Below are 27,762 nucleotides of genomic sequence, written 5' to 3'. Positions count from 1 at the left end.
GCAGTGCCAAAACTACACCTCACCCACCTACCTGCCCAAACGCTAGTGGCAGTGCTTTAAAACAGTGCAACAGAAACAAAAAACAGGACAGCGGTTTTAGGGTCAGATTTAGCTTTAAATCCTGCTCCTCTACAGACTACCTGTTTAATCTTAGACAAATTAATATCTCCATACCTCACTGTCTATGTCTAAAATGATAACAAAACTGACATCATAGAGTTATTACAAAGATCTTCTGAAAATATTATAGAGAACACTATACATGGCACATTACAGGCATTGTAATGCTTGACTGTCATTAGGTCTCATTAAACCAATAATATAACTCCATAACTCAGAGCGGTCCAGACTTGCACTACCCAACAGGGTAGTCAACTAGCCAAATGTGGCTACTGAGCACTTGAAATATGGCTAGTCTGAATTGAGATACACCATGAATGCAAAATACATATCGGATTCTAAAGCCTTAATTCAAAAAAGAGCATAAAATATCTATCTCATCAAAAACTTTTATATTGATTATATGTCAAAATAATATTCTAGGTATACCAGATTAAATAAAATCAATTATTAAAATTAATCTCAACTTTTTTATGTTTTAACGTGGCTACTGTGTGGCTTATATTTCTACTGGACGGTTCTGGTCTAAACCATCACTGGTAACAGTTTCAAATGCAAAATGGGATGGAAATTTCATTATGTGCTTCGTATGACTTATCTAAGAGACTGAAGATCCTAATGTACTTTAAATACCTTCTAATTTAAGTACTATTAATATTCACCTATTGCCTATTCATGGGGACACATGTCATCTTCCCACTTTGATAATAACAGTACTCATGGTATCTTACAAACTAGCTGAAGAACGGCATGTGACAAGCCACCTTTCTGTATCAACTGTATGCATTGTCTGTTCTTCACACAGTATTAACAGAAGCTTACTCCAAGACCCATCCTCATTCTTAAAAAATGTTTTTCCGTCTCAAATTCAGTACTACATTTTGGATTAAAGCAATGTAACCCATTTACACTGACTTTCCTATCAGCAAATCTACCTTTTAGTGATCAGCAAGGCTACAATCCAGTTTCAAGTTGTGTCATCACCTGTTTAATATAGCTGCAAAAAAAAACCACATTATTTTTCAGTCCTGGAGATAAGGAAGGCACTAATTATGTAACGTGAAAAGATAACTCCCTTTTATCTGCTCAGACAGCTTGAAAGGTTTAAATACTGATAAGGACTATAAATTTAGCCAACTCTATTACTTATTAACATTACTGACAGGACATGTCATAATGCTGAACATGTGTTGCTTAAACTACTATAGCTGTTAAGTCCTATCTTATAATATTAAAATTACAGTTATATATCACTCCAAATTTCTCCAAAGCATTTCTACAGACATTATCACAGCAGTTCCCTACAAAAATCACTGGCTGGAAGTAAAGTTGATTTTACTATACCCTCATTTAACAGACACAAAAAGCAAGGCCCAGAGGTTGTGTTTATCTTGCTTGCCCAAATAAAGCCTGTAGCTAACGATAAGATAAAGTATAAAAAAATTCTACTGCTGCCTGGTAGTTAATACTGTGAACTCTAAAGTTAGATCTTGGGTTCAAATGCTGGCTCCAACACCTAGTAGCTGTGGGACCTTGGACAAATCACTTGTAACCTTATTCCCTCTATCTTTCCGTTTTCTCACAGACATAGTATGAGTAGTTACCCTCATGAAAATTAAAATAAAATGCTCACACACATTGAAAATTCTCAATAAATGTTTGCTCTTCTCACCTAAGGCTTTAAAATCTGAAAGACGGGACATTTAGAGATGAAATTAAAAAAAAAAAACAAAACACTTCTGTCAAAAGGATAAGAATATTTCTAGAACATCTTGAACCATAATCATAAATGTTCAGATTTTATAACATTTTCATTTTTGGCAAATTCATTCTTCATGTCTCTTCCTTTTTTAAAAATTACTCCTAAAAACCTGCAAAAAATAAAACCTACATTTATTAAAATTGTGTGGTTTTTAAAGGTAGAATTCCCAATTGAGAAAATGGTAATACAGAAAAGGTGAAAGGAATGATCAACACACATTACTTCAATTAGCCAACTATTTCTTTTGTGTATATATACACTGTGATAAGCTTTACCAGATGGTATACTCAAATTTACAGAAACTAATTTTTAAAGTATGTTTCCCAAGTCACAATATATAAATCTGATACACTGTTGCATGGTAACAAAATCCCAATTCTGAAGGCTAGCTAGTGCAGAAATATTTAGGAAAAAGAAGAGAATGCCAGCCAAAGCGTGGGGAGAGTGTCACTCCTATAGTTCTAAAAGGTATGATATATACTTATCTTCTGCCATTACCTGGTACATAGTATAGGTGCTCAATAAATAATCTGGGTGAATGCGTGACTGAATGAATAAATGAGTAGGAGAAACTTAATGTTTCTTCAAATGAACTAAATCAAACAAGAAAGCATTTGTGATCCCATGGGAGATACACTTATAAACTAAGGAAGTCCTTAATAAGGCTGACCAAGGTTCCAAGCCATAGCTCAGAGGCTAGAAGAAGTAGATATCCCAAGATTCCCCTCACCTCCTAATTAATTTCAACAATCCTCTTCATATGCTTTGAAAATTTTACCTTGGTGAATTCCTACAGAGCAAAAGCATCCTTTGTAAGTACAGCATGCTTTCAGGAATTAGCCATAGTCAGAAAATTGTGTGTGTGTGTGTGTGTGTTTGTGTACATACTCAGATATATATGAGCTAACTGAGAAACAAAATTAATTTTCTGCTATGTGCTAAAATATCCATTTGCTACTAAAGGGTTTTTTCTATTCATGTCATATTCAGGGCAGAACAGCAATTGGTGCATACTTACTACCCAATTAGTTCAGGAGAGCTGAACTACACTCTTGCATAGTTTTACAACCAAGCCTTGTTTTTAAACTTTAGCTTGCCATTTGATAGTAACATAGCTGTAAAGATGAATTCAGAAGTCATCTTGCAAAAGCATTTTAAGTAAAAAGCTGTGCAAAAGCACAGAGCAATAAATCTAGCACCCAGGAAAAATTCAGTGGTATAATTTTAAACTATACCTTGACATAAAAGAAAATGAAGACATATGAAAAGTAATTCATGATGGCTTCCATATGATAGATGCATTATTCTATTTTTAGAGATTACCTCTGTTACTATAACTTTTATAACCTTTTTGAAGAGCTAATTTCCTAAGAAATATATTTTTTAAATAATGATATTAAACATGCAAAATAAATTATTAAAACCTAACTTATTTTCTTCCTGGTAAACTCTTGTTTAAAAAAATTTTGGCAATATTGTTAATAAAGAATATTATTAACTATATATATAATATATAATATATAAACTGATGCAGTTTAAAGCATAGATTATTAAAACAGTGAAATCCAAAGGTTACTGCTCAACTATACTGTTACTGGTTCACTTTAAAATCTATGTTAGGGCAGGGCACGGTGGCGCACACCTGTAACCCCAGCACTTTGAGAGGCCGAGGCAGGTGGATTACCTGAGGTCAGGAGTTTAAGACCAGCCTGGCCAACATGGTGAAACCTCATCTCTACTAAAAAATACAAAAATTAGCCGGGCGTGGTGCCATGTGCCTGTAATCCCAGATACTTGGGAGGTGGAGGCAGGAAAATCACTTGAACCTAGGAGATGGAGGCTGCAGTGAGCCGATATTGCACCACTGCACTCCAGCCTGGGCGAGAGAACAAGATCCTGTCTCCAAAAAAATAAAAAATAAATAAAATCTATGTTAAAAATAAATCTAAATATGAAAATCAAAATCCAAAGTTATAAGCAAATAACTGTTATAACAATTTCCACAATTAGTATTAAGCTATGTTCCCATATTAAATGGCAGCAATTTTTAATGTATAATCAATACAAGATTAAAATACATCTTTTTTAAAATGTTATTTTAAGTTCTGGGATACATGTGCAGGATGTGCAGGTTTGTTACATAGGTAAACGCGTGCCATGGCAGTTTGCTGCACCTATCAACCCATCACCTAGGTATTAAGCCCAGCATGCATTAGCTATTTTTCCTGATATTCTCCCCACCCCTAGAATATATCTTCATTCGAATTTAGATTATATCATTAGTAATAAAATTTTCACAAACAAGTTAGTAGTACTTATTTATTAACAAATACATTTTGGAGAGTTCCAACAGTTTAAGGTGTCCTTCTCTTTTAAACAACTTACAAACTATATAATTATCTTTGCACTGAGGCTATAAATTTCCATTTATATAACATATTTTTCAGATAGGGAAAGTTAATATTGAATAATCAATGAGCAAGGAGAAGCAAGCTTTAAGAACTTCCCAACTCTTAGGAATCATGAAAATAATTTTTCATGATTATTTTAGTGTCCCTGAAATTATCAAATGCATCATTTCCATTAAAACATATATGAGTATAAAGGGAAAATATGAAGTTTATTCAAAAGGAGCAAAAAAGGGAGATCAAATGTATGAAAAGTTCTTTATATCCTAAAAATGAACAACAGAAAGAACAAGTTGTAATTGGTAATACAAATCAAAAGATCACTTTCCCTACCAGTTTTGAGACTGCAAATATTTTAAAAATTAGAAATAGTTTTAATATTGTATTATTGTTCTATGTATTATATATTATAGTTTGCTTCATAGCAGATGCCCCCTCCCCCTTAATTAATCTAAAACCTTAAGGATAAATAGTTCCATGTGATTCATAATTGTTGAATGAATACAACTTTTCCTAAAGTTGTTAGGTTTCATAGATTATTCCTGCCACTTCTAGGATTTTATGAATCTATACTTGTCACAGTTTTCTGAAAATAAAGACAATAATAGTAGAGAACATATATCAAGTCCTTATTTATACATATTAAAAGGCAATCTAGAAGAACAGTTAAGAGCCACTGTCTGAGTTCAAATACTGCCGCTTCACTTACTAGCTACATGACCCTGGGCGAGTTACTTCTCAGTGTCTCCATTTACTTATAAAATGGGATAAGTACCTACCTCATAAGGATTAAATAATAATTGTTTAGCTCAGTGCCTGGAACACAGTTAATGCTACGTAAGGGTTAGTTATTATTATTACTATGTGCCATGTATGAGTTTTACTTTACACACATTACTTCATTCTCATTTAACCTATTTTTCATATGAGGATATTGAGGTTTACAATGGCTAAGCAACTTGCCTTAGTGAAAAAAAGCTAGTAAGTGGAAGGGCCAATATTGAAGCCCAGGTTCTCTGATAGCTATGCCAGTGTATCCTCAAACTAGTCTCCGTGGATATATCTGTAGAGATTCACAAGTTTTTCCTCATTATTTTTAATTTAAATCATTCTAGGGAAAATTTTCAAATGAAAAACATTTTCATAGAGTAGACTTTAATTTCTGAAATCATCAAACTGGTATATGCAAATCCCTGGCATTCACGGGAATATTCTCATAGATCTAGGATTTTTTTTTTTTTCTTACAAAGCAGTCAACTCGTAAAACTTCAAACATAACATGGAGCTTTCATTCTTCAAGAATGAGAGAATAGGCCGGCTGCTATGGCTGACACCTGTAATCTCAGCACTTTGGGAGGCGAAGGTGACAGGATCGCTTGAGCCCAGGAGTTCAAGACCAGCCTGGACAACAAAGTGAGATCCTGTCTCAACAAAAAATACAAAAAATTTGCCAGATGTGGTGATGCAGATCTATAGTCCCAGCTACTCAGGAGGCTGAGCTGTGAGGATTGCTTGAGTCCTGGGAGGTTGAGGCTGCAGTAAGCCATGATCACACCACTGCAATCCAACCTGGGTGACACAGCAAGACCCTGTCTCATATTGAAAAAAAAAAAAAAAGAATGAGAGCAACAGCTATTTTTCAAAATCCTTATTCCCCATATTCATTTTAGATACCAAGTTCGGGACCTTTTGGCTAGTCTACTTTAAGAAGTAAAAATATTTTTTAAACGACAATGACATTAAAACATGTTACTTCTTTGTAACAACTGGTCTTGATTTTAAAGAAAACAACAACACATTAAAAAAACAAACATTTAAAAGTATTCCCTTAGTAAACAGTACTAGTACTCACATTCAGCACCAGTCTCTCATCTTTACTCCAATTCTGTATCTACAAGAGCCTACAAGAATTTTTCACTTGAACAACTCAAATAATAAGCCCCAAGTAAACTCATTTTCCCTAGACCACTTTTCCCCAAACAAGATCCCTCTTCCACATCTCTAATTCCTCCAATGATATTATCATTCTCTCAGTCATCCAGGCTCATGGCCAGAATAATCTTTGACTCCTATCTGTCTCTTATTCTCTATACTCAAAACCATATGTCTTTCTTCAAATGAATTTCATTCATAGGCCCAACTCCATTCCCACTTATCCACCTCCTTCAGGTGTCATCACCCTACTCCTTCCCTCCAACCCTATCACTGTCTAAACCATCACCTGTTTATCCTTCTTAAAGGACCAATTCGATCATGCTTGTCCTCTGCTTTATAACCTCCATGAATTGCCATTACTCAACCTACAGAATAAAATCCAAATGTTGAATTTAGAACTTTTGATCATGTAAGACTGATCATTTGAGAATTTACAGTGAATTCTCCCCTTTTATAAAAGTGTGTAACCACATAATATCCTGTATGTTTCTTAGCCATTTCCTATTACTGTTATTAGTGGTGTGGAGGCTTCTACAGAAATAAGATTTCTTTTATATATCCTTACCAGATACTAAGTAGATAACCAATTACCGAGTTAGATACTACCAGTTAACAGTGCATATATCCTGAGTACCTGATATGTGATCATTTATTCAACAGATATTTGCTGAATAATGAATCTGTGCTGAAGATACTAATGTGACTTCCATCTACTAAGAGATTTCCATGTGCCAGACAACACTAGTTTAGATGCATTATCTCACTTAATACAAGTCATCCTCAGATAGTATTATCAATCTCATTTTTAGTATGAGGCAATTATATCTCTAGTATAGTCTACTTTAAAAAGTAGAGCCAAAATCAGAACTGAGTAAAAAGTTTGTACTCTTTAACACTGTATTCTACTCCTATAGAAATATTACTCTAAAGAAAGGAGCTGTCATCTATTTGGCATGGTGGACACACAAATATAATACTTTGTCCTAAATACTATGAAGGATGCAATTAATGTCTTATTTGAGCACAAAATGATGGGCCAAACTCTAGGGTAAAAAGATGGAGAGTCAGAGATATCTGGAGATGACATGTTTAAGAATGAATCACAGTTACAAAATAAAGAAACATTCCCAAAAAAGGGGATAACCTGTGCAAAGGTAGAAAAGCACAAATTTCATGACTTACTCAGAAAACAGCAAACAGTTCAGTTTTCTAGAAAGTAAGTGTGATAAGGGAGACTGGTAGAAAGGGCAAGCATAGTCAGATCATGAACAGTTTAGCCAACGAGTTTAGATTTTGGCCAATAACTAAGAGAAAGCCATTGTGTAATTTTAAGCAAGAGGGAATGATCACATTTGTGCTTTAGAAACGCTGCTCTGTACTGACAAATGGACTGGAAGAGCTACAGCCTAGAAGCAGGGACACCATTTTAGGTTACTGAAAGAGTTCAGGCAAGAGACTAACCTAGAACAGTGGCGAGGGACAGAAAAAGATTGATTCAAAAGATATAGAGGAAACAGAACTACAGGACTTGGTATCCAATTAGGTTGGGGGTTTGTAGGAAGGTGAGGGAAAGGAAAGAATCTAGGTAAATCCAAGGTTTCTCTCTTGAGCTCTGTCTGGGTGGATGGAAGCACCATTAACTAAACAGGGAGGAGGAGCAAAAACAAGGTAAATATAAAGAAAATGTCAGATGGTATTGGTACATACTTCTAGTATACCCAAAAGATGTCTAGTAAACAAATAGGTATACCTAGATCTCAGGAGAAATCCAAGGTAAAAATACAAAACTGGAAGATAATGACAAGGAGAGTGAATGAAACTTCCTAGAGAAATGTGTGCAAAAGGAGACAGCCAAAGATCAAGTTGTGGAGACCACCAATATTTAAAACAGGCAGACAGAAGTATGAAAACTAGGAGAGAGTAGTGATACAGAAGCTTAGAAAGGAGAAAGTTTCATGAAGAAGGGAGTTGTCAATGCACTAAATGTACCAAAGAGATGAGGATTTGAAAATTGAGTAACTGGTGACTTGAAGAAGAGAGGTAGCAGAGGAATGGCTGGTAAAGAAAGCTAAACTAGACAGGGTTGAGTGAATGGCAGGGAAGAAAATAGAGGCAGAAAGTTTGAGAAGAGTAACAACTAGAGAAGAAAAGAGCACAGAAGAGCAACATTTTTAGAATGGTAGAGATTTTAGTATTTTTATAGGATGAGAAAGGGACTAGTGGAAAATGAGATTTTAAAATTATACCTCTGTACTTAAAATTAGTATATGGAAAAGTTACCCATGATACAAAAAACAAGTTGCAGAATATGTATGCTATAATATCACTTAAAATTCTGACTCCTTTCAACGGCCCTCAAGGCGTTTAGGTCTTTATGATCTGGCCCATACCTACCTTTAACTTCATGGTATGCCATTTTCCCCTTCATTCATTATGTCCCAGCAACACTGGCCATTCTTTTTGGTCCTTCAACACACAAGCCTGTTTTTGCCTCAGGAATTCTGCACTTGCTGATACTTCTGCCAGAATGCTCTTCTCCTGATCAAAGGCTAGTTCCCTCAAGTCATTCATATCTCAGTTCAAACATCCTTCCTCAGAGAGGTCTGCCTACCTTTATGTAATATTGCATATCTCTTCACCTCAGCCCCCAAAAGTTACCAGCAATACCTTGTGTTAGCAACTACCATTATGTGAAATTCTTATTTACTTGTCCATTCCCCTCCTAGAAATGTAAGCTCTGTAACAGAGATTTCATCTTCCACATATGCAACATATTGTTCACCACATATCCCTGCTGCTTAAAATAATACCGGGCACATAGTAGACACTCTGCTGTTGAATGAAAATCTGTACACACACACATACACACACACACACAGAGATGTATTTACATGAAAAATACTAAGAAAGGTCAGAAAGGATCTAATACTTGAACTTATTTATATGGGGGCAGCATGAGGCTAGGAAGAGAGGCATACAATAACCATTCACTGTTTCCTTCATCTCTATTCAAACTTTCTGCAGAAGTCATGTCTTTTGTAATTGAAAAAAAAATTAATAATGATCATACGAGCCTAGGACAGTCAATCTATTCTGCTTCTCTATTTTCGTTTGGTGGGCTATAATGATCTAATCACCTGTGGAACAAGCGACTACTCTGATTGCAGGTTGATCCTTGAGTTGTTTTGGTATGGCAGTTCAAAGTTAAAATCTTAAATCTTGGAGCTGGAAAGAGCTTAGGGATCATCTAATCCAACCCCCTAGTTTTATAGATGAGGAAGAAGAGACTTATAGCAATTTAATTAATAAAAAAATAGGGCATTGATGAAAAAGTTTCAAAGACTATATGATTAAGAACAATTTAAAAGACTAATCTACTATATGTTATATGTAATTTAAATAATAAAAGCCTCCTAAAAGTTACTCTCACATATAACCTACAATCTTCTGGTGAAAACTATTACTCAAAGTAAACGTATTTCCCTAAGCATACTATTTGACCAATGAACTCTACAGTTAAAGCATCATAATATAACAAAGGATATGGAATACGTGTATGTATGTGTGTGTATATATATATGGAGTGAAAATATTATTCACTCTTGATACCCTAACACTGTTAGGTGTGCAGACTAACTGAAGTTAGCAGGCACTTCTTTCCACAGGGTAGACATACAATACATCAAGTGTATCATACATTTAAGGATTCATTATACTTTGATTCAAATTTCTGTATTAATTTCTATAATGTATATTTAATGGGATAAAAATCAAATGTTAGGTTAAGAAATGCACTATACTATGTCATTTATAGAAATGTCTTAACTATTTATCTCTCTAGATATACTGTAGTTTACCAGGAATACAACAAATTTTGTCCAAATTTCTGAATAATACCACCTTATGTTTAACACACTGTCTCACCTGACCCTCACAAACAAACCCAGAGACAGCAGATATTATTACTTCCATTTAGTATATAAAAATGAGGCTCAGAGATTAAGGAGCTTGACCACAGTCATTCAGACAAGTCCTAGAACCTAGATCCTCTACTTCTTAGCCATTGTTCTTTCCAACGCCCAGATTACTTCACATTTACCATTTACTAAAATGTAAATATAATTTCCTTCCTTCCTTATCAGTGAAGGTGAAGAGTACCAAAATCCTAGCATTCCTATCCTATTCTACCTGAACTTTTAGTACACCACATTAGTCATTCATCTTAACACTGATGAGAAAGATGTGAAAGTCACCTTAACTGAGAATTGTGCTTATCAATAATTCTGTATGAAATCCTACCAAATAGTCAATTACTTTCTTAATCATAATAAAGGTACCCACTTATTTAGAAAGCTCTCTACAAACAATAACCAAAACAGTGTTAAAATGGTCTTTCTAGTTGGAAATAAAATCTGAAACCAAATCTTAGCCCTACTACTAACTGTTCAACACTCAGTGCATTTCTTAACTTAGTATCATCCTCATCCAAAAATGAGGATACCACCACCTGCTTCTGTGAGTTGCTGGGAAGATTAGATGGTACAATAGGTGTAAAGCAATTAGCTCTTAGAAAATGGCCAGATCTGCTAACATGGTGAAACCCTGTCTCTACTAAAAATACAAAAAAAATTTAGCCAGGTGTGGCGGCACGCGCATGTAGTCCCAGCTACTTGGGAGGCTGAGGCAGGAGAATCACTTGAACCCAGGAGGCGGAGGTTGCAGTGACCAGAGATTGTGCCACTGCACTCCAGCCTAGCGACAGAGCTAGACTCTGTCTAAAAAAAAAAAAAAAGAAAAGAAAAAGGCCAGATCTTATAGTTGTTAGAGACACAGATGCAGATAGCTACTGCTGATAGGTAATGTCATTTAATTTATGTGAACTTTTACTTGTTTAACTTCTAGTGTGCCCTTATTTTTTTTCTCCCAAATATTTGGGGCAGGACACAATACACTCATGCTCCCAGGGAATAAACTAAAGTGAGAGCTGAATTTCATTCTTGTTTCAACCCCTGTAATTAAGCAACAGAGTAAAAATCTATTATTTGACTGTCTCGGAATTGGCTATATCTAAATCTAAGCTTACATTATTTTGACTCCTACTCTTTATCTGAGTTGGCTAACTGCATCTTTCACTCTATTTTGAAATAAAACTAATAAGCCAATTTTATAAATACAAATAAAAATACAGTGAATTCATCTTGGGTGAAAAGAGTAGGAAGCCTTCAGGGAGAATGCAGAGAGGGACCTAACACTGAGAAATTATGTATTCAGAAGTCCATTTTGTCCTAATTTACTTTCTCTTTTAATCTTCACAAACATTCTAGTCAATAGAGGCCTCATCTTATAGATTAGGAAAGTTCAGAAGCTTTAACTCTGACTCTCTCCCCTTTGCTCAAGGTGCTTAACCACTCTAACCTACAAGAAGGCTCTTGCTCAACTCAAGGCCTTAATCTCTGCTCAGAATGGTCTACTGTTTCTCCACAAGGCTGTCTCCTTCTGCTTCAGGTCTCACCTCAAATAGTACCTCCTCCGTTCAATCTAAAGTAGTGTACACCTACGTCAGTGTAGTCTGGTAAATTTTTTTAAAAAAGGAAAAAAAATAAAGTTGTGTACGCCAATTACTCATCTTTATTTCCTTCAGAGAACACAAAATGGTCTGTATTCATCTTCTTTTTGTGTTTAAGGGCAGAGATACTTTGATTATGACAATGAACACACCTGCCTACAGTCATTTAGCAAGTAAATAGTAGGACCTGGAAACCAATCCAAGGAAATCTGACTGCAAGCTCCTGCACTGCCCTACCACTACTTTTTGTACAGATGATAGGGAAAGTGCTTTGGGCTGGGAAATAAATTAAGAGGTGTGCCTTGCTGCTTTTTTATATTCATTCACTATAAAGAAATTATACATACAGTTAATACCACAAAATATTTAATCCGAATTTATGCATACAGTTAATATTATAAAATAATTCGAATTTCAAGAGCTATTACATTGCCTATTAGAATCACAACTCAATTTGGAAAAACACTACATTTATAATGTGCCTTATCCTAATACTTCAAATTTGTTAAGTAACTGGCATCTGCGCAAATAGTCTTTCAGGGCTAAAAGAGAATTGTCACATATACAAATGAGTTTTACTAACAAGCTTATAATATTCTTTTAAAAATTGTTTTGAATTTCACAATACATCATGCAGAAAACTTTTAAAACCAGCCATATGACATCATTTCGATAATGGTGTTCTTTAAGAAAGATGACACATGCACGCACTGTTGCGTTTTTGCTGTTAAACCATATTCTTGCAGGTAAGTCACTTCATGTAAAACGCTAAGCGCGGCTAAAGCGGACCACTAACAACATTCTCTTTGTTACCTTACCCACAGGATTTAATACTTACTGCTGAGTTCTCCATCCTCAGATACTCCTGTCCCTCTCATTCCTAGGTAAGTCAGTCCCAGTATTAGGAAAAATAAGCAGGCAGCAGTTAAGAGAAACATCGACAAGTAGTGGGCACTGAAACTCCCTGTTGGGGACACCTCCTCCCGTTTAAATTGCTGGAGAAGTTCCTCTTCGGGTTCGGAAAGCTTCGGTTTGTTGTATGTGTTTTTCAGGTAGGTATGATTGGAGCCCGTATGATTGGCGTGATTGATCCTGAGTGAACTAGAGGCGGCCACCGCCGCACTGGGAGGGAGACTGTTAGAATAAATCCTGGGGGAGTCCACACTGAAGGCCCCACCGCCAATATGATTATTGGTTTTCAGAAGGGAGCCTGTTGACGAATCCAAGGTTGAGTCCATGTCAGTAAGTGGCGGGGGCAGGAGAGGGGTCAGTTTCTTAGCGTTAACACGGTATCTAGGAACGGGGCTGGAGTCCACTTGATCACACCCTCCTCCCTGCTCCGCGGCCGCCGCCTCTTCGAGGTTTCGGCTCCTGTCTAGACTCCCGGCAGCCGCCGCCCTGTCATTCATCGCGAGTCCTCCCCCTCCCTGAACTGAAGTCTCCAGCCTGCCGCCGGCCGATTTAGCAGTCAGCGGGGGGAGAGGCTTACTATGGGTTCGTCTGGGCCGATGCCGGGAAAGGGAGTCGTCCTTTAATACCTGTCTGCTGGAGGCCACGTCGTCGTCGTCCTCTTCCTCTGAGTCCGAATAGTTTTCCCGGCAGCTGTAGGGGACAAGCCGGCTGCCATTCACGGTCCGGCTCGCCCAGAGCGGCTCCTCGGTCTCCGGGTCCCTCTCCTCACCGTCCTCTCCCTCCCCTTCCTCGTCCTCCACTGCTCCATCTTTCCCCGGCGGGGTCTGCAGCTCGGGGCCCGCCGGCCTCCTGGCCCCCCACCACGAGTGGGGCTTCCTTCGCTCTGCAGAGTTGCTGTTAGTCACCTCGCTGGCGGCCAGGGGCGCCGGCGGCGCTTTGAGCCCGCGGTACTGGAGCGAAGCCCGGTCTTTCCTCCCGCCGCCGCCGGCCTGGTCCCGGGGACTGGCCTCCACGTCCGACTCGTCCGAGCTGAAGCCCAGCAGCACTTTGCTGCCAGCCGCGGGGGCGGCGGAGGCGCCCCCGGGCCCTCCCAGGAGGCTCTCTGGGCCAGAGGCCGAGATTCGGCACAGGCCCCCAGGAGTCCGTAAGTAGGAGAGGTCGCCCGAGACCGGCCGGACCCCCATCCCCGCGGCCGCCGCCGCCGCTGGTCCCGCGGCTGCGACCGTGGCGGCTGCCGTGTTATTGTTATTACTGTTCCGCGTCTTGTTGCCGCGGCCCCCTGACCGGTGCTGTTGCTGCTCTTCCTCTCGAAGCTTCTTCAGCTTCTTGAGGTAGACCGGGCGGGTGCTCTCCGTCACTGGTCCGGGAGACAGGCCGTAACGGCGGAGCTGAGAGAAAAGCTCCTCATCCGAGAGCTGCTGAGGCGCCGAAGCTGCTGCCGCCGCCATTTTCTCTCCAGGGTGTTTTACAAGCTCCGCGCTACCGGAAGTGACGCGCCGCCCTAGACCCTGAACTAGACCGCGCTGCGTCGCCCTCCCAGCGCCGCGGGCATCTCGGCCAATGGGAGGCGCGGGAGGAGCTCACCTGAGCGGGAAAGAGCCACCTGAGCAGCGCGCGGCTCCCACGGCGGAGACTGTTTCTACTCTCTCACCTTGAGGTGTCGGCGCATTCTCCCCCTGCTCTCTATCTCATCTCCAGCTGTTCTCCGCCCTGCCCTTCCAAGTGCCGTTCCCGGGAGCTGTCTCTTACTAAACCACACCTTGACCTCACCTTCCTAGGTTCCTGCCACCGGGCAGTAATAACTGAAATCTACCTTGAAGTTTATGGCGTAAGTTTTCTTTACATCTGGATTCCCAATGCCGAGGGAGCCTAGACCTACTGAAAGAAATTCTGCTGGCCAGACTAGATTGGCAGCTTTCCCGTCTGACTTCAGGTTGTCTATTTTCAGTTCGTCTTTAGCTTGACCTACCAAAAAAAAAAAATTTTTAAGTGACTTTCTCTCGCTGCTCTTTTTGAGAAGCCTCACCTCTCTCATTCTGAGAAGATACGGAGTACACCAATCACAATACAATTTTCTTCTAGCGTAATGGCTGTTCATTCATTAGTTAATTGTAAGATATTATCTTTTTTTCCTTTTTTGAAACCTAATGACTTTACTACGTCAGCACTTGAAAGTGAAAGAGCTTGTCTGCTTCATTCTAAGACTCTCAGAGACATAACACATGATCCTATTTATTTCCTTCTTAGCACCTTTCCAACCAATAGTTATTTATCAGTTATTAATAAATATTTGTTTACTTTCAAAATTATTTATTGTCCTATCCTTTTGGACTATAATAAGCTCCATGTGTGGAGGAACCTTGCTTCTGTTACTCACAATACTAGTAGAAGCTCAATAAATATTTGTTGAATGAATTAAAGAATTGCAAAGAGAGGATAGTATGAGATGAATATTTTGAAATAAGACTAGTGCCAGGTGAGGTGGAGAAACCTTCACACAAAGTCAAAAAAACAAGGACAAGACCTGGAACCCCAACTCTGCCATTTACAGAATAGGAAATGAATCCCAGAGAGGTGAAATGTGCCCCATGTGGTGAAGATCTTGTCCCATTTTCCCATTTCCCCAAACCTTGGCAGACAGACAATTCTTTAGTACTTCAATCCTAGTAGCTACAAAATACTACAATAATTTTTTGTTGTTGAATGAGTTATTTTACCTATTACATTACCCTATACACCTGTACAGAAAAACGTTAGTCAAAAGCATAAATACGGCCGGGCGCGGTGGCTCACGCCTGTAATCCTAGCACTTTGGGAGGCGGGGCGGGGGGCGGGGGTCAGGGGACGGATCACGAGGTCAGGAGTTTGAGACCAGCCTGGCCAACATGGTGAAACCCCGTCTCTACTAAAAATACAAAAAAATTAGCCGGGCGTGGTGGCAGGCGCCTGTAATCTCAGCTACTCGGGAGGCTGAGGCAGGAGAATCGCTTGATCCCGGGGAAGGCAGAGGTTGCAATGAGCCGAGATCGCGCCACTGCACTCCAGCCTGGGCAACAAGAGCGAGACTCCGTCTCAAAAAAAAAAAAAAAAAAAAAAAAAAAAGCTTTTCTGTGGAGGACACTTCCTTGTCCTCTATCATTGAGACTTTAAGATTTATAAATGTTCCTGAATCTATGACTGTTATGCACTTATAAGAGAGTTTTGAACAGTAAACTATAGTGGCTATGATGATGATGACCCAGATTTTATTGCCATAATTATCTGGGTGGGAACTAAAATTATTATAAACTTAGTGGACTTGTGTCTCCATGTAGCAGAGTGGTTAAGCTGTGAGCTTTGGAGTTAAACAAAACTAGATATGGACCCAGCCCTGTCTCTTACTTTGATTCTTGGTTCAACATTTGCTTTATGCCATACTGGCTCCTCTGATAGGAATCATAGAGCTCTGTTGGCTCAGCCTCTGATTTTCATGAACCTTTAAGTGACCTCCTATAAGGACTGTTGAACCAGTTATGTTTCTGCCTGTGACTTTGGGCAAGTTAATTCATCTTTCCGAGCTTTAGTTTCTGTACAAACAGAAGACGGATGATAAAAATTCCTCAGAAGGCTGTTTTAAGGAGTAAATAAAACTATATGTATCTGCATAATGCCTAGTACCATACGTAACACAGTGTGCACTCAATAAATGTTAGTCAATAATATAAAGCTAAGCATTGTGTGCAGCCATTTCAGTAGCATGGCTCCTGAGAACTCTATGTAATAGCAGTTAAAGAAAATGCTACTCCATAGACAAAAATGGAAATGGTCAAACTTCCCTCAAGGCATTAAGTAAGTCCAATTAAGAGTTAATGAAGATGAGCCGGGCGCAGTGGCTCATGCCTGTAATCCCAGCACTTTGGGAGGCCGAGGCGGGCGGATCACCTGAGGTCAGGAGTTGGAGACCAACCTGGGCAACATGGTGAAACGCCATCTCTACTAAAAAAAATACAAAAATTAGCCGGGCGTGATGGCGGGCGCGTGTAATCCCAGCTACTCAAAAGGCTGAGGCAGGAGAATGGCTTGAACCCGAGAGGCGGAGTTTGCAGTGAGCCGAGATAGCACCACTGCACTCCAGCCTGGGCGACAGAGGGAGACTCCACCTCAAAAAAAAAAAACAAAACAAACAAACAAAAAAACTACAAAAAAAAAATTAGCCAGGTGTGGTGGTGCATGCCTGTAATCCCAGCTACTCAGGAGGCTGAGGCAGGAGAATCGCTTGAACCCGGGAGGCAGAGTTTGCAGTGAGCCAAGATCATGCCACTGCACTCCAGCCTGCGTGATGGACCAAGGCTCGGTCTCAAAAAAAAAAACAAAACAATTTTTTTTTAAAATGTGGATGATATTGCCTACCCTACCTGGCAGACAATTCAATCAATATTTGTTGAGAATGATGAACGAACACTGTATGTGAAAATGTTGTTCAAATATTTTGTTTACAAGTTAGGTATTATCAGATATTAATAATAACGACAACTATGATTGATATACTACTTTATACTTTTCAAAGAACTTTCATATACATGACCTTGTTTGATCTACAAGAAACCTTTCCTCTCTGAAGATACTAGAGCATGATTTATTTCATGGAACTATATGGGTTTATAATTACCCTTTGTTTGGTGTTTGAGAAGACCCAACGCTTTTTCAGGAGAACCTTCACTGCCTCAACACTGTCACTGCTCACTTCCAACATTCTCCTCATTTGCTAGTGGATCTTGCTCCTGCTTCCAGACTGGCTAACACTTAAAGTATGAGGCTCTATTCTTGACTGTACCCAGATACTTGACAGGGAGTGCAATCTCAAACTCAGTCCTGCTCCATAACTTCCAAAAATCTGAGGGAAACAATTTTGATGGATTCTGGTCCAACTCTTCTTTGAGGTGCTTTTAATTTCATTTCTGCCTTAAGCCTCCTTATGAGAGACCAATGTAGCTTGGGCCACATTACTAACACGCTGTTCCTCCTACTCTCTTTCCCTACCCACCCTGTTCCCAATAGAATACCTTTCACCATGTCACCCTTTTAGCCTTGACATCAGTTTATATTGAAGAATGATATGAACGCAACATTTTGTTCAAATAAATATATTGCTGAGAGTTCATTTCATTAAAGAATGTCCTTTCTGGTCTCATTATTAGAAATAGTTGTGTTTTTCCAGAGCAACTCATTTGTTGTTGTTTTAATTTTTACTGAAATGACATTCATATAACATAACATTAATTGTTTTATATTATTTTATTTTTGAGACAAAGTCTTGCTCTGTCACCCAGGCTGGAGTGCAGTGGTGCTATTTTATGGCTGAATAATATATTTCATTGCATGAATGTGCCACTTTTTATTTATCCATTCATCCACTGATGAACATTTTGGTTGTTTCCACCTTTGGTAATTGTGAATAATGCTACTATGAACATTGGTGTATAAGTATCTGTTTGAATAGCTGTTTTCGTTTTTTTTAGGTATGTACTTCAAAGTGGAATTGCAGATTATATGGTAATTCTATGTTGAACTTTTTGAGGAATCACAAAAGTTAATTTGTTTTTAACTTTATGGATGTGTTCAAGCAAATAAGGAAGCCATTAGGCCCATGCGGTGCCTCACACCTGTAATCCAAGCACTTTGGGAGGCCGAGGAGGGATCACTTGGGGTTAGAAGTTCAAGACCAGCCTGGCCAACATGGTGAAACACATCTCTACTAAAACTTCAAAAATTAGCTGGGTGTGGTGGCCCGTGCCTGTAATCCCAGCTACTCGGAGGACTGAGGCAGGAGAATCGCTTGAACCCAGGTTGCATGAGCCGAGGTCGCACCACTGCACTCCAGCCTGGGTGACAGAGCAAGACTGAGTCTCAAAAAAAAAAAAACAAGAAGGAGGCCATTAGCCTGAGGTTGTCTCTGCACCTAGAGCTCTTATATAAGCAAACTGAAACTGAAGTGGAAGCAGTTCTTGTAATTAACTTAAAAAAAAACAAAACCCACCAGCTTCTGCCAATCACAAACAGCCAACCAGCTGATTGGATATATAACTAGAGACTTCCCATCAGACCATACCCAAATAAGGCCAATGCATAGCTGTAGCCAATCAGGTAATTTCTTTACTTTGTTTCCATGTTGTGGCAAAACAAACAAACAAACACCTCCCTGCTTTGGCTGCTAAGGCTGAGCCCATAAACTTTTTGGTTTTGATGCTTCCCAATTCATTAATCATTATTTTCTTTAAATAAACTCTGTCAAATTTATTTTGTCTTAAGTTTTCCTTTTAACAGATGGACACTGTTTGGTGACTTGCCATGTTTCTCCCTTTGAGATGACAGCTAAGAAGTTTATACTCAAATTTGCAGTCCAGTCAGAGCAAGTGTATAGGGCTACATAGCCTATATTTTATACATTAACCTTATTGCTGAGTCCATCTAAATTTCTTAACTTTATTTTTGTGTACCTCATTTTAAAATATTTTTATTTTATTTTGGTCAGGCATGGTGGCTGATGCCTGTTATCCCAGCACTTTGGGAGGCGAATCACTTAAGCTCAGGAGTTCAAGACCAGCCTGGACAGTGTAGCAAGACCCCATGTCTACAAAAAGTTAAATAAAATAAAAATTAGACAGGCATGGTGGTGTGCACCAGAGTCCCAACTACTTGGGAGGCTGAAGCAGGAGGATCGCTTGAGCCCAGGAGTTCAAGGTTGCAGGGAGCTGTGATTTCACCACTACACTCCATCCTGGGTGAGAGAGCAAGAGCTATCTCTGAAAAAAAGAAAGAAAGAAAACAAAAACAAAAAATCTTTAAGATGTTTTTAATGTTTACTTTATCTTCCTAATATGCATCTTTTTAGCTGCCTTAAATCATTTAATTTATATAATTTTATATAATTCATCTGACAACCCAACGGGTAGGTTTTCTTAGTCTTCATCTTCTACAGATGAAAAAACTGATAGCTAGCAAAGTTACTTGACTCAAGTCTCGATAGATAAATGAGAAACTGAAACCCAGGACCTCTGAGTCCAAATTCCTTGTTCTTTCTACTATACCATACCAATCTTGAATACCTTTGTTGAGTCATACAGTTATATGGTGGTAAAAAGAAACTTAGTTCCCTCTTTTCTCACCCACCCTAAAGAGGAAGGTGTCTGTAATGGGGTGAAGAAGAGGACAAAGGCTTTTACAATTAACCTGTTTCTTTTCTTTGTTGCTACGTGCAACAACTGGAAAGAAAACTCAAAAATATAAAATTGATTATATCACTTACCATTTTAGCAGATCAAAGCAGTAACACAATATTATATTGATGTTATCACTTCGCTCTGTTGCCCAGGCTGGAGTGCAGTGGCATGATGTCGGCTCACTGCAACTCTGCCTCCTGGGTTCACGCCATTCTCCTGCCTCAGCCTCCTGAGTAGCTGGGATTACAGGCACCTGCCACCACGCCCGGCTAATTTTTTTGTATTCTTACTAGAGACGGGGTTTCACTGTGTTAGCCAGGATGGTCTCAATCTCCTGACCTTGTGATCCGCCCGCCCCGGCCTCTGGGATTACAGGCGTGAGCCACCTTGCCCGGCCGATGCTATCACTTCTCTTAAATACCTCTAGGATGTGTTCACTAGTTTTGATCTACAAAGTTCCTGATGTTTATTTTTCTTTTTAATTGCTCAACACTAACACTGCTTATAAGGAAGAAACCAGAATACAACTGAAAAAACAACACGTTATTGAGAAATGTTGGATAAAATTTTTATCCTATGTTACGGTAAGAATTAGCCAAGAAAGTTTTGTAGTGAGAGCATCTGTTTTATTTTTCTATATATAACTCAGACAGGTGGGGAATTGTCATAGGATTCAAGTAAACAACATATGTATGCGATGATTGATAATTATATTCTACTCTAACTATGCAAGTGAGTGAATTGCCTAAATTGTTAACTAAAAGTCATGGAAAAACATTTCACTTTAATACCTGATGGACAAGGGTCTGAAAATTTGGAGGTTTGGGTTCTATTCCCAGTTCTACAATTGTAGTAATATTTTACATTTTTATTTTGCCTCATAGTCTATAAAACTCTTTTATTGTCTCATTTGATCTTTAACCAGGATAGAAGGCTTTATCATTTGTCCTTTGTGAAAGCTAGCAAGGACTGAAATTCAAAATCACACTAGGTTCTCTGACCCCTAAGTCCACTGTTCTTTCTAACCCACCCTGCTGTCCCATGTACTGCATGAAATGAGTCATTTAATCTTTTGGCTTTCAGTTTCTTCATGTCTAAAATGAGTAAAGCTACTATACCATTTAGATCCCTTCCAAATCCAAAACTTTCTGAGAGCATTGTCTTATAGTACTTATTATTGTACTTTTTATTATAGTCATACGCTTGCTTTATTTTGCCCCTTAGACTCTACATTCCTTGAAATAAGGGTCTATGCCTTTTTGAAATTTGCATCCCTCCCATCTCCTAGCTTATTGTCTTATGCACAGTATTCTATACAAATGTGTTGCATGAATAGTAAAGAGTTACCACATGTCACAAAATGGCATTAGGAAGACTTTGAGTTATACACAAAGAAATACATTAGGAGTAGGCCTCCTGTAGGATTATCTAAAAATAAGAGAAAAATATGAGTCTACAAATTAAGCATGAAATTTAAGGAATACACCTGCAAAGAGGATCATGGTCCAGGGTGCTCTAGAGGTTTGGTTTCATTAAGCAGCAGAAAGCATTTTAATACCAATGCTTTCCTGTCCCACATCATATGATCAGTGGTGTAAACAAAGAGGTCTGAGCACCTCTGTTTATGATTATGCATTCTTATTAACAGAAACCTTTCTTTAAATGTCATTTTATTTGTTGTAAGAGAACTTCATATGAAACAGGCATCAAGAATCACCAGGTTTTGGTTTAATAAGACTTTTAAACTTTGGTTTATTTATCCCTTGATGTTTCTTGTCTGTTCTTCCCAGAAGCTTAAGCCTTCTTAAAGGAGAAAGGGGATAGAAGGGGAGAGGGCCAATGTTAGTTTTTATTGATGGGCTAGAAAGCATTCTCTTCCATTGCCCATGGCTAAGACCTGCTCCTGACCTCTGCTGCTTGCCTCTAAATGAGAGTATTTTCTGCCTATCCATACAAGAGGAACGTTTCTGAGTGTTGTGTATCCTTTCATTGTTCCTATGGCCCTAAAGAACAGGTTTACAATAAATGGCAATGGTCATTGGGCTCCTCCTTTCTGGTACACAGCCTGGAACTTCTCTCCTGACAATAAACTGGGGCAATCTTAGCCTCACCTTATTTGTTTCCCCTCTCTTGGGGTCACTGTCCTTTGTTGCGCATTGTCTTGAAACTTGTTTCAGGCTACAGAGTAAATCCAGTCCCTCTTATTCCATTTTGACAAGAAGCAGAAATCCCAGTACGTGGGTGTTTAATGTACTAATCTTTCTACTTTTTTACATGTTTGAAATTTCCCAAAATAAGTTTTAAAAAAAAGGTAGAGACCAGATGCCTGGTAGTGCAGAAGGTTTTTGAAGCAAAACAAAGGTGTGTAATGAGAATTTTATTTGGTTGTATTATGTAAGATATAAATTCTCCTTTGTGACCCCCTAAGAAGTCTCCAGTATGGTCTATATAACTAATTTTTTTGTTTTGACATTCAAAACATTAACAGTAATATCATTATATGTCCTCATTACCATCCCCTCAGTTAACAACCATTCATTTTGTAGTATGATTTTGGTATTTATCATTAATATGGATCATCTCTTTCCTCTCTCTCTCTTTCCTCCTTTCAGTCTCTCTCTCTGTCTCTCTCTCTGTCTCTCACACACACATACACACAATATGTATATAAAACATTTTGATATCACATTTTACATATATAGTCTTCTGCAACTTACATTGTCGCTCAATATTTTGTGAGATTCAGCCATATATAACTCTAGTTCAATTGTTTTCACTGTATTAAATCAATGAATAGCATGTTTACTTTTACCTGCCCCTGTATATTTTGTCTAAGTCTTTGGTTAAGACTATCTGGTTCGTTTATTTATTTGTTCAACAAATATCTACTGAGTACTTACTTTGTGCCAAACATTGTTCTAGATGATGGGGATACAACAATGAACAAAATAGACATCCTAGATCTTACATTTTAGCTGAAGAAGATAGACATTAAGTAAATAATATGTAATATGTCAGAGATAGGTGCTAAGGAGAAAAACGAAGGAAGGTAAAATGGGATAGAGAGTGAAGGCTTCAGGTGAATGGTGCTATTTTATTTGGGTGATTAGGAAGACCCTTCTGATCAGGTGATATTTGAGCAGGCATCTGAAGAGAGTGAGGGAGTAAGCCAGGTGGATATCTAAGGGAGAAGGGAATGGCAAGGGCAAAACCCCAGAGCGGGAATATGCAAGATGGGATTATTCTTAGAACAGAAAGGAGGCCAATATCACTGGTATAGGATGGGGAGTGGGGCACCAGCCATGGGAGATAAGATCAGATCAGTGGTGGAGGAGAAGTGTAGATCTTCTAGGACCTTTTAAGCCATGATAAGGACTTTGTGTTTCACTCCGAATAAGATGGCAAGCCTTTGTAGGAGAGGTGGGGGTTGAGGACTGGAGCAATGTGATATAGTTTACATATTAAGACCTGTTGTTTCCAAAGGTAGACTTTAGAAGAGGAAAGAAAAAAGCAAAGAGACAAGTTAGAAAGCTATTGCAACAATCTAGTTGAAAAGATTATGATTTGGAGCAGGATGGTAGTGAGAGGAAGTGAGAAGTATTGGGATTCTGAATGTATTTTAAAGGACTTCCTTACAAATTAGATTGTGGATGTGAGAGAAAGGAATCAAGAATGATTCCAAGGCTTTTGGGCTGAGCATCCAGAAGAACGAAGTTGCTATTTACTGAGATATAGCAGCCTGGAGTACAGTAAGTCATCAGAGAATTCAGGGGATTCATTTGAATATGTGATTTTTGGGGCTTCTAAGAAAATGAATTTGGGAAAAATGTACACATGAGCTTGGAGTTCAAGAGGGAACCTCTGGGCTAAAGTCATAAATGTGTGTCAGCAGCAGAGAGATGAAATTTAAAGCCATGTAAATTAGCAGGATAGAAAAAAGAAAAGGTCTGATAACTGATCCCAGAAGTACTCCAACATTTAGAGATGGAGGAGATGAGAAAGAGCCTGCAGAGGAGACTGAGAACAAGAAGGCAGTAAGATGGAGGAAAAGCAAGAGAGTGATATCTGGAAGCTGCTAAGCTAAGTTCCAGAAGGTTCTCCTCAATCATATACACTCTCTATGGATAATGGACTCTCTGTACAAAGACCTAAGGGTGGTGATTCTCAAAAAGTTAAGGAACTCAAATATATGCCTATAAGAAGTAATAAACAAAATTTTAAAAATAGTTGCATTACCATAGTGGGGTTATAAATAATATATTTATTTTAATTGTCAAATATTTAATCATGTCAGGTTTTCAATAAAAATATGCTTCATAAAACTGGAATTAATATCCCAAGTTGTCATTCTTTTCTATTGCTCATATTAACTTAGGTTCTTTTCTTAGCATTTAGATTTGTTTGCATAAAAGTTCAAGTGGTACTTTTTTTTGTAAAGGAAAGAAAAAATAATTGATTGCTACTGTCTGAATCTTTTAAATTTCATATTAAAAGGCTGTTTTTATTCAAGCGGGATGCATTATTGTTATTAAAGTCTTTAGTACCATAGGTGGTGACCTGAGCTATAAAACTTATATTCAGTGAGTAAAAAATTCTTTCTAGTTTAGCACAAGTGGTTGTTTGAATTACTTGAACTAAACCTTGTTGGTTTCATTTTGGTATTTTAGGACTCCTTGAAAAGCCTTTTGCTCGTATAGGGACTGCGCCACTGCTCCTATTTGAAATGCAGCCTAAATATTATATCATAAATAAAATAATCATGAACGCCACTAGAGATGTACCTTGATAAAGTTAAATGGGCAAATAAGAGTTATGTGATTCTTGAGTGTGGGCCAGCATGACAGATTTTTAAAAATTCAGAGAGCTGAGAGGCATCTTTAAAAGTATGTAGGTAAATCCTATTATTTTTTAGGTTAAGGAAATAAAGCCTATCGGGTTGTGTTATTTGTCCAACATTACTCAACTAGTTAGAGAGAAAATTGGAGTTAGAACCCAGGTATCCTAAATTCCAGACCAATTCTCTATACTGTGGAACTATGCTTTAATGAAAAAAAGTAGCAGAACAAGAGAAGCTAGTCTGATTATAACTCAATTTAGGGTCTCTGGTCATTTTTCTTGTTTTATATCAATACTCCTTTGGCACTTCTATGATGTCATTGAACTTTAAAATAACCCTATTCAATAGTAGATGCAAGTTATCAACATTCTTATTTTATACAGGTGATGAAATTGAGAAATAGAGTTTAATTTACTTCTGCAACATCACAAAGCTAGTAGATGGGATAGTACTCAGGCCTTCTGAATCCTATTTAACTTTTCTTTCTACAATTAGTTATATTAGGAGAAATATTTAAATGATCTATCAAAATAACCTGGCCAGGCATGGTGACTCACGCCTGTAAACCCAGCACTTTGGGAGGCCGAGGTGGGTGGATCACATGAGGTCAGGAGTTCAAGACCAGCCTGACCAACATGATGAAATCCCATCTCTACCAAAAATAAAAAATTAGCCAGGCGTGGTGGCGCATGCCTGTAGTCCCAGCTACTTGGCAGGCTGAGGCAGGAGAATCGCTTGAACCCGGGAAGCAGAGGTTGCAGTGAGCAGAGATCGCACCATTGCACTCCAGCCTGGGCAACAAGAGCGAAACTCCATCTCAAAGAAAGAGAACCTCGGCTAAAAAATAAGAACAACAACAACAACAAAACAAACTTTCGTGTTACATGCCAGTTGGAAGATAGGAAGGAAAAGCTGATGAGAAAATGTAATGGCTGAAAAAATAGTAACAACTAACAATGTTGCCATAGTAGCAAAACTGAGCAATTAAAGGCATTGATGCAAATTTCTTTGAACAAAAATAATTGAATTCTATGAAAGGAGATAGTTTTTTGGTCAGTCCTTCCATAATTTCAAAACATCAACTGCCTAAGTGCAAGGGTAAGTAGATTTGAATTAACATCAGTTGCTAAGTGAAGATGCGGGAATTTTCATTAACTGGAAACAGAATGTGATCCAATGTTATGACACAGCTTCCAAAAAAGCTAATGCAATCCTAGACTGCAGTGATAGAGGTATGTTTGGAGTAAACTTTGCTGGTTATACAAAAGTTGAGGCCAGGCAGGGTGGCTCACACTTGTAATCCCAAGTGCATTTTGGGAGGCTGAGGCAGGAGGATTGCTTGAGCCCAGGAGTTCAAGACCAGCCTAGGCAACATGGTGAAACCCTGTCTCTATAAACAATTTTTAAAAATTAACAAAATAATTAGCTGGGTGTGGTGACACAACCCTTGTGCCCAGCTACTTGGGAGGCTGAAGTGGGAGGATTGCATTGAGCCTGGGAAGTCAAGGTTGTAGTGAGCCATGATCGCACTACTGCACTCTAGCCTGGGTGACAGAGCAAAACCCTGTCCTCCAACCAAAAAATAAAAGTACTATGTTCCCATCTTGTTGCCACATTTTAAAGACACTCAATAACTAAAATTCATATAGAGGAGGATAACCAGAATGGAAGTCTGGGAGCCATTTCCCAAGATCAATGTTTGCCAACTCAACCAACAGGTTGCGTTGCAGCACAGCCTGTTCTGAAGCTGTTGTTCTGGTTCCCTGCTAACTAGGATAGTGCATTCTTTTCTTGCGATGGAGACTCTGGCACACCTGCCTCCCCAAAGACTTAATTTCTTATCCCTAAACTAACTGTTTATCTCTGCCTCTGCTAATTACTGGCTACTGAGGCCATTGTTGAATGTCTGTCCTTACCGTGTTTATCAGGCAGGGTTCAATGCTGGAAAGAGAAACCATCTGAAGTATTTAAAACAGATTTAATACAGGGTGTTAGATCATTATAAAATCACTGGAAGGGCTGAAAGAGTGGGTTATAAGCTGAGCTCCAGGAGTGATTCCCTGAACACCATGAAACTGACCTCCCAGAGGAGTTACCTCCTCTGCCATAATCGGGAAGGTCGGTATTCGAGAATCTGCCATACAGCTATTAAAGTTAAAACAAAACAAAACAAACAAAACACTGTAGCTGCAATTCAGAGCTCAAGAAGCTGATGCCGCTGCCACTGCAACTTCCTCTTGATAGCTATGAAACAGGAGATCAGGCACTGCATAAAACCCCCACATTTCTATAACCATGTTTACCATTAGTAAATAGTCAAAAGCAGAATTAAGGGGACTTCCTGTTTAGGACCACTTTTCAAAATGTGTGTAGGTGCATCAAATTGGTGCAATCTAACCAAATGTGGAACCCTGGTGGCAAGGAAGTCAGGGAAATGTACTATTTTGCTTTCCATCTACTTCAGTACAGAAAGTCACACTCAAAGGAAGTGAAAATAAATGCTGAGTCATTTGTAAAATCAGAATGAAAAGAGAAAGAAAAAAAAAGAAAAGAAGATCCGGCCTCAAGCAATCCTCCCATCTCAACTTCTTAAGTGACTGGGACCAGAGGTGTTCACCACCACACATAGCTAATTTTTATTTTTAATCTCTTATAGGGATGAGGTCTCACTATGCTACCCAGGTTAGTCTGAGCTCAAGTGATCCTCCTACCTTGGCCTCCCAAAGTGCTGGGATTATAGGCATTAGCCACTGTGCCCAGCAAAAAATTTATTAGATACTGCATATTTTCAAAGATTCAAAGGGCTTTGGAATCAGGTAGACTTTACCTCTGCCACTGATGATGTATATGCTTTTAGTATAATAACTTTTTTACTCTAAATCTCCATGATATGGTTTGGATCTGTGTTCCTGCCCAAATCTCATGTGGAAATGTAATCTGCATTGTTGGAGGTGTGGCCTGGTGGGAAGTGATTAGATCATGAGGGGGATTTCTTATGAATGGTTTAGCACCATCCCCCTTGG

At 38.7% G+C, this 27,762-nt stretch overlaps 1 protein-coding gene and 1 long non-coding RNA gene across 3 annotated transcripts in view, besides 7 other annotated features; one reads left to right on the top strand and one right to left on the bottom strand.

Moving 5' to 3' along the window:
- The window catches only part of LEMD3 (LEM domain containing 3), a 78,773-nt gene extending 64,608 nt beyond the window's left edge, over positions 1-14,165 (bottom strand). For both annotated transcript variants that reach the window (NM_014319.5, NM_001167614.2), the window contains exon 1: positions 12,630-14,165. In NM_014319.5, coding sequence (NP_055134.2) covers positions 12,630-14,151 — 1,522 coding nt within the window. In that variant the 5' untranslated portion in view covers positions 14,152-14,165. The remainder of the gene's footprint in view (positions 1-12,629) is intronic.
- Positions 13,008-13,087: an enhancer, noted in NCBI's record as "active region_6608". NCBI's record gives its function as "activates an Ori minimal core promoter by ATAC-STARR-seq in GM12878 lymphoblastoid cells {active_cell/tissue: GM12878}" and the evidence as "EXISTENCE:reporter gene assay evidence [ECO:0000049][PMID:35858748]".
- Positions 13,081-13,284: a silencer, noted in NCBI's record as "fragment chr12:65564244-65564447 (GRCh37/hg19 assembly coordinates)". NCBI's record gives its function as "represses an EF-1alpha promoter that drives an FKBP-Casp9 reporter gene in an ReSE screen in HepG2 liver carcinoma cells {active_cell/tissue: HepG2}" and the evidence as "EXISTENCE:reporter gene assay evidence [ECO:0000049][PMID:32094911]".
- Positions 13,668-13,877: a silencer, noted in NCBI's record as "silent region_4630". NCBI's record gives its function as "represses an Ori minimal core promoter by ATAC-STARR-seq in GM12878 lymphoblastoid cells {active_cell/tissue: GM12878}" and the evidence as "EXISTENCE:reporter gene assay evidence [ECO:0000049][PMID:35858748]".
- Positions 13,830-14,402: an enhancer, noted in NCBI's record as "H3K27ac hESC enhancer chr12:65563126-65563698 (GRCh37/hg19 assembly coordinates)". NCBI's record gives its function as "activates a minimal SCP1, AML or CMV promoter by ChIP-STARR-seq in primed H9 embryonic stem cells {active_cell/tissue: H9 hESC(primed)}" and the evidence as "EXISTENCE:reporter gene assay evidence [ECO:0000049][PMID:30033119]".
- Positions 13,998-14,147: an enhancer, noted in NCBI's record as "active region_6607". NCBI's record gives its function as "activates an Ori minimal core promoter by ATAC-STARR-seq in GM12878 lymphoblastoid cells {active_cell/tissue: GM12878}" and the evidence as "EXISTENCE:reporter gene assay evidence [ECO:0000049][PMID:35858748]".
- Positions 14,332-18,979, top strand: LOC124902953 (uncharacterized). The gene is made up of 2 exons (XR_007063349.1): positions 14,332-14,531; positions 18,202-18,979. It is a non-coding gene; the product is annotated as an uncharacterized LOC124902953 (long non-coding RNA).
- Positions 14,588-14,647: an enhancer, noted in NCBI's record as "active region_6606". NCBI's record gives its function as "activates an Ori minimal core promoter by ATAC-STARR-seq in GM12878 lymphoblastoid cells {active_cell/tissue: GM12878}" and the evidence as "EXISTENCE:reporter gene assay evidence [ECO:0000049][PMID:35858748]".
- Positions 27,333-27,392: an enhancer, noted in NCBI's record as "active region_6605". NCBI's record gives its function as "activates an Ori minimal core promoter by ATAC-STARR-seq in GM12878 lymphoblastoid cells {active_cell/tissue: GM12878}" and the evidence as "EXISTENCE:reporter gene assay evidence [ECO:0000049][PMID:35858748]".

This window comes from Homo sapiens, chromosome 12, assembly GCF_000001405.40.
Source record: "Homo sapiens chromosome 12, GRCh38.p14 Primary Assembly".
In the NCBI taxonomy this organism is placed as follows: domain Eukaryota; kingdom Metazoa; phylum Chordata; class Mammalia; order Primates; family Hominidae; genus Homo; species Homo sapiens.
Note: the sequence above shows the minus strand (reverse complement) of the source record. Positions and strands in the feature narration are given on the sequence as shown.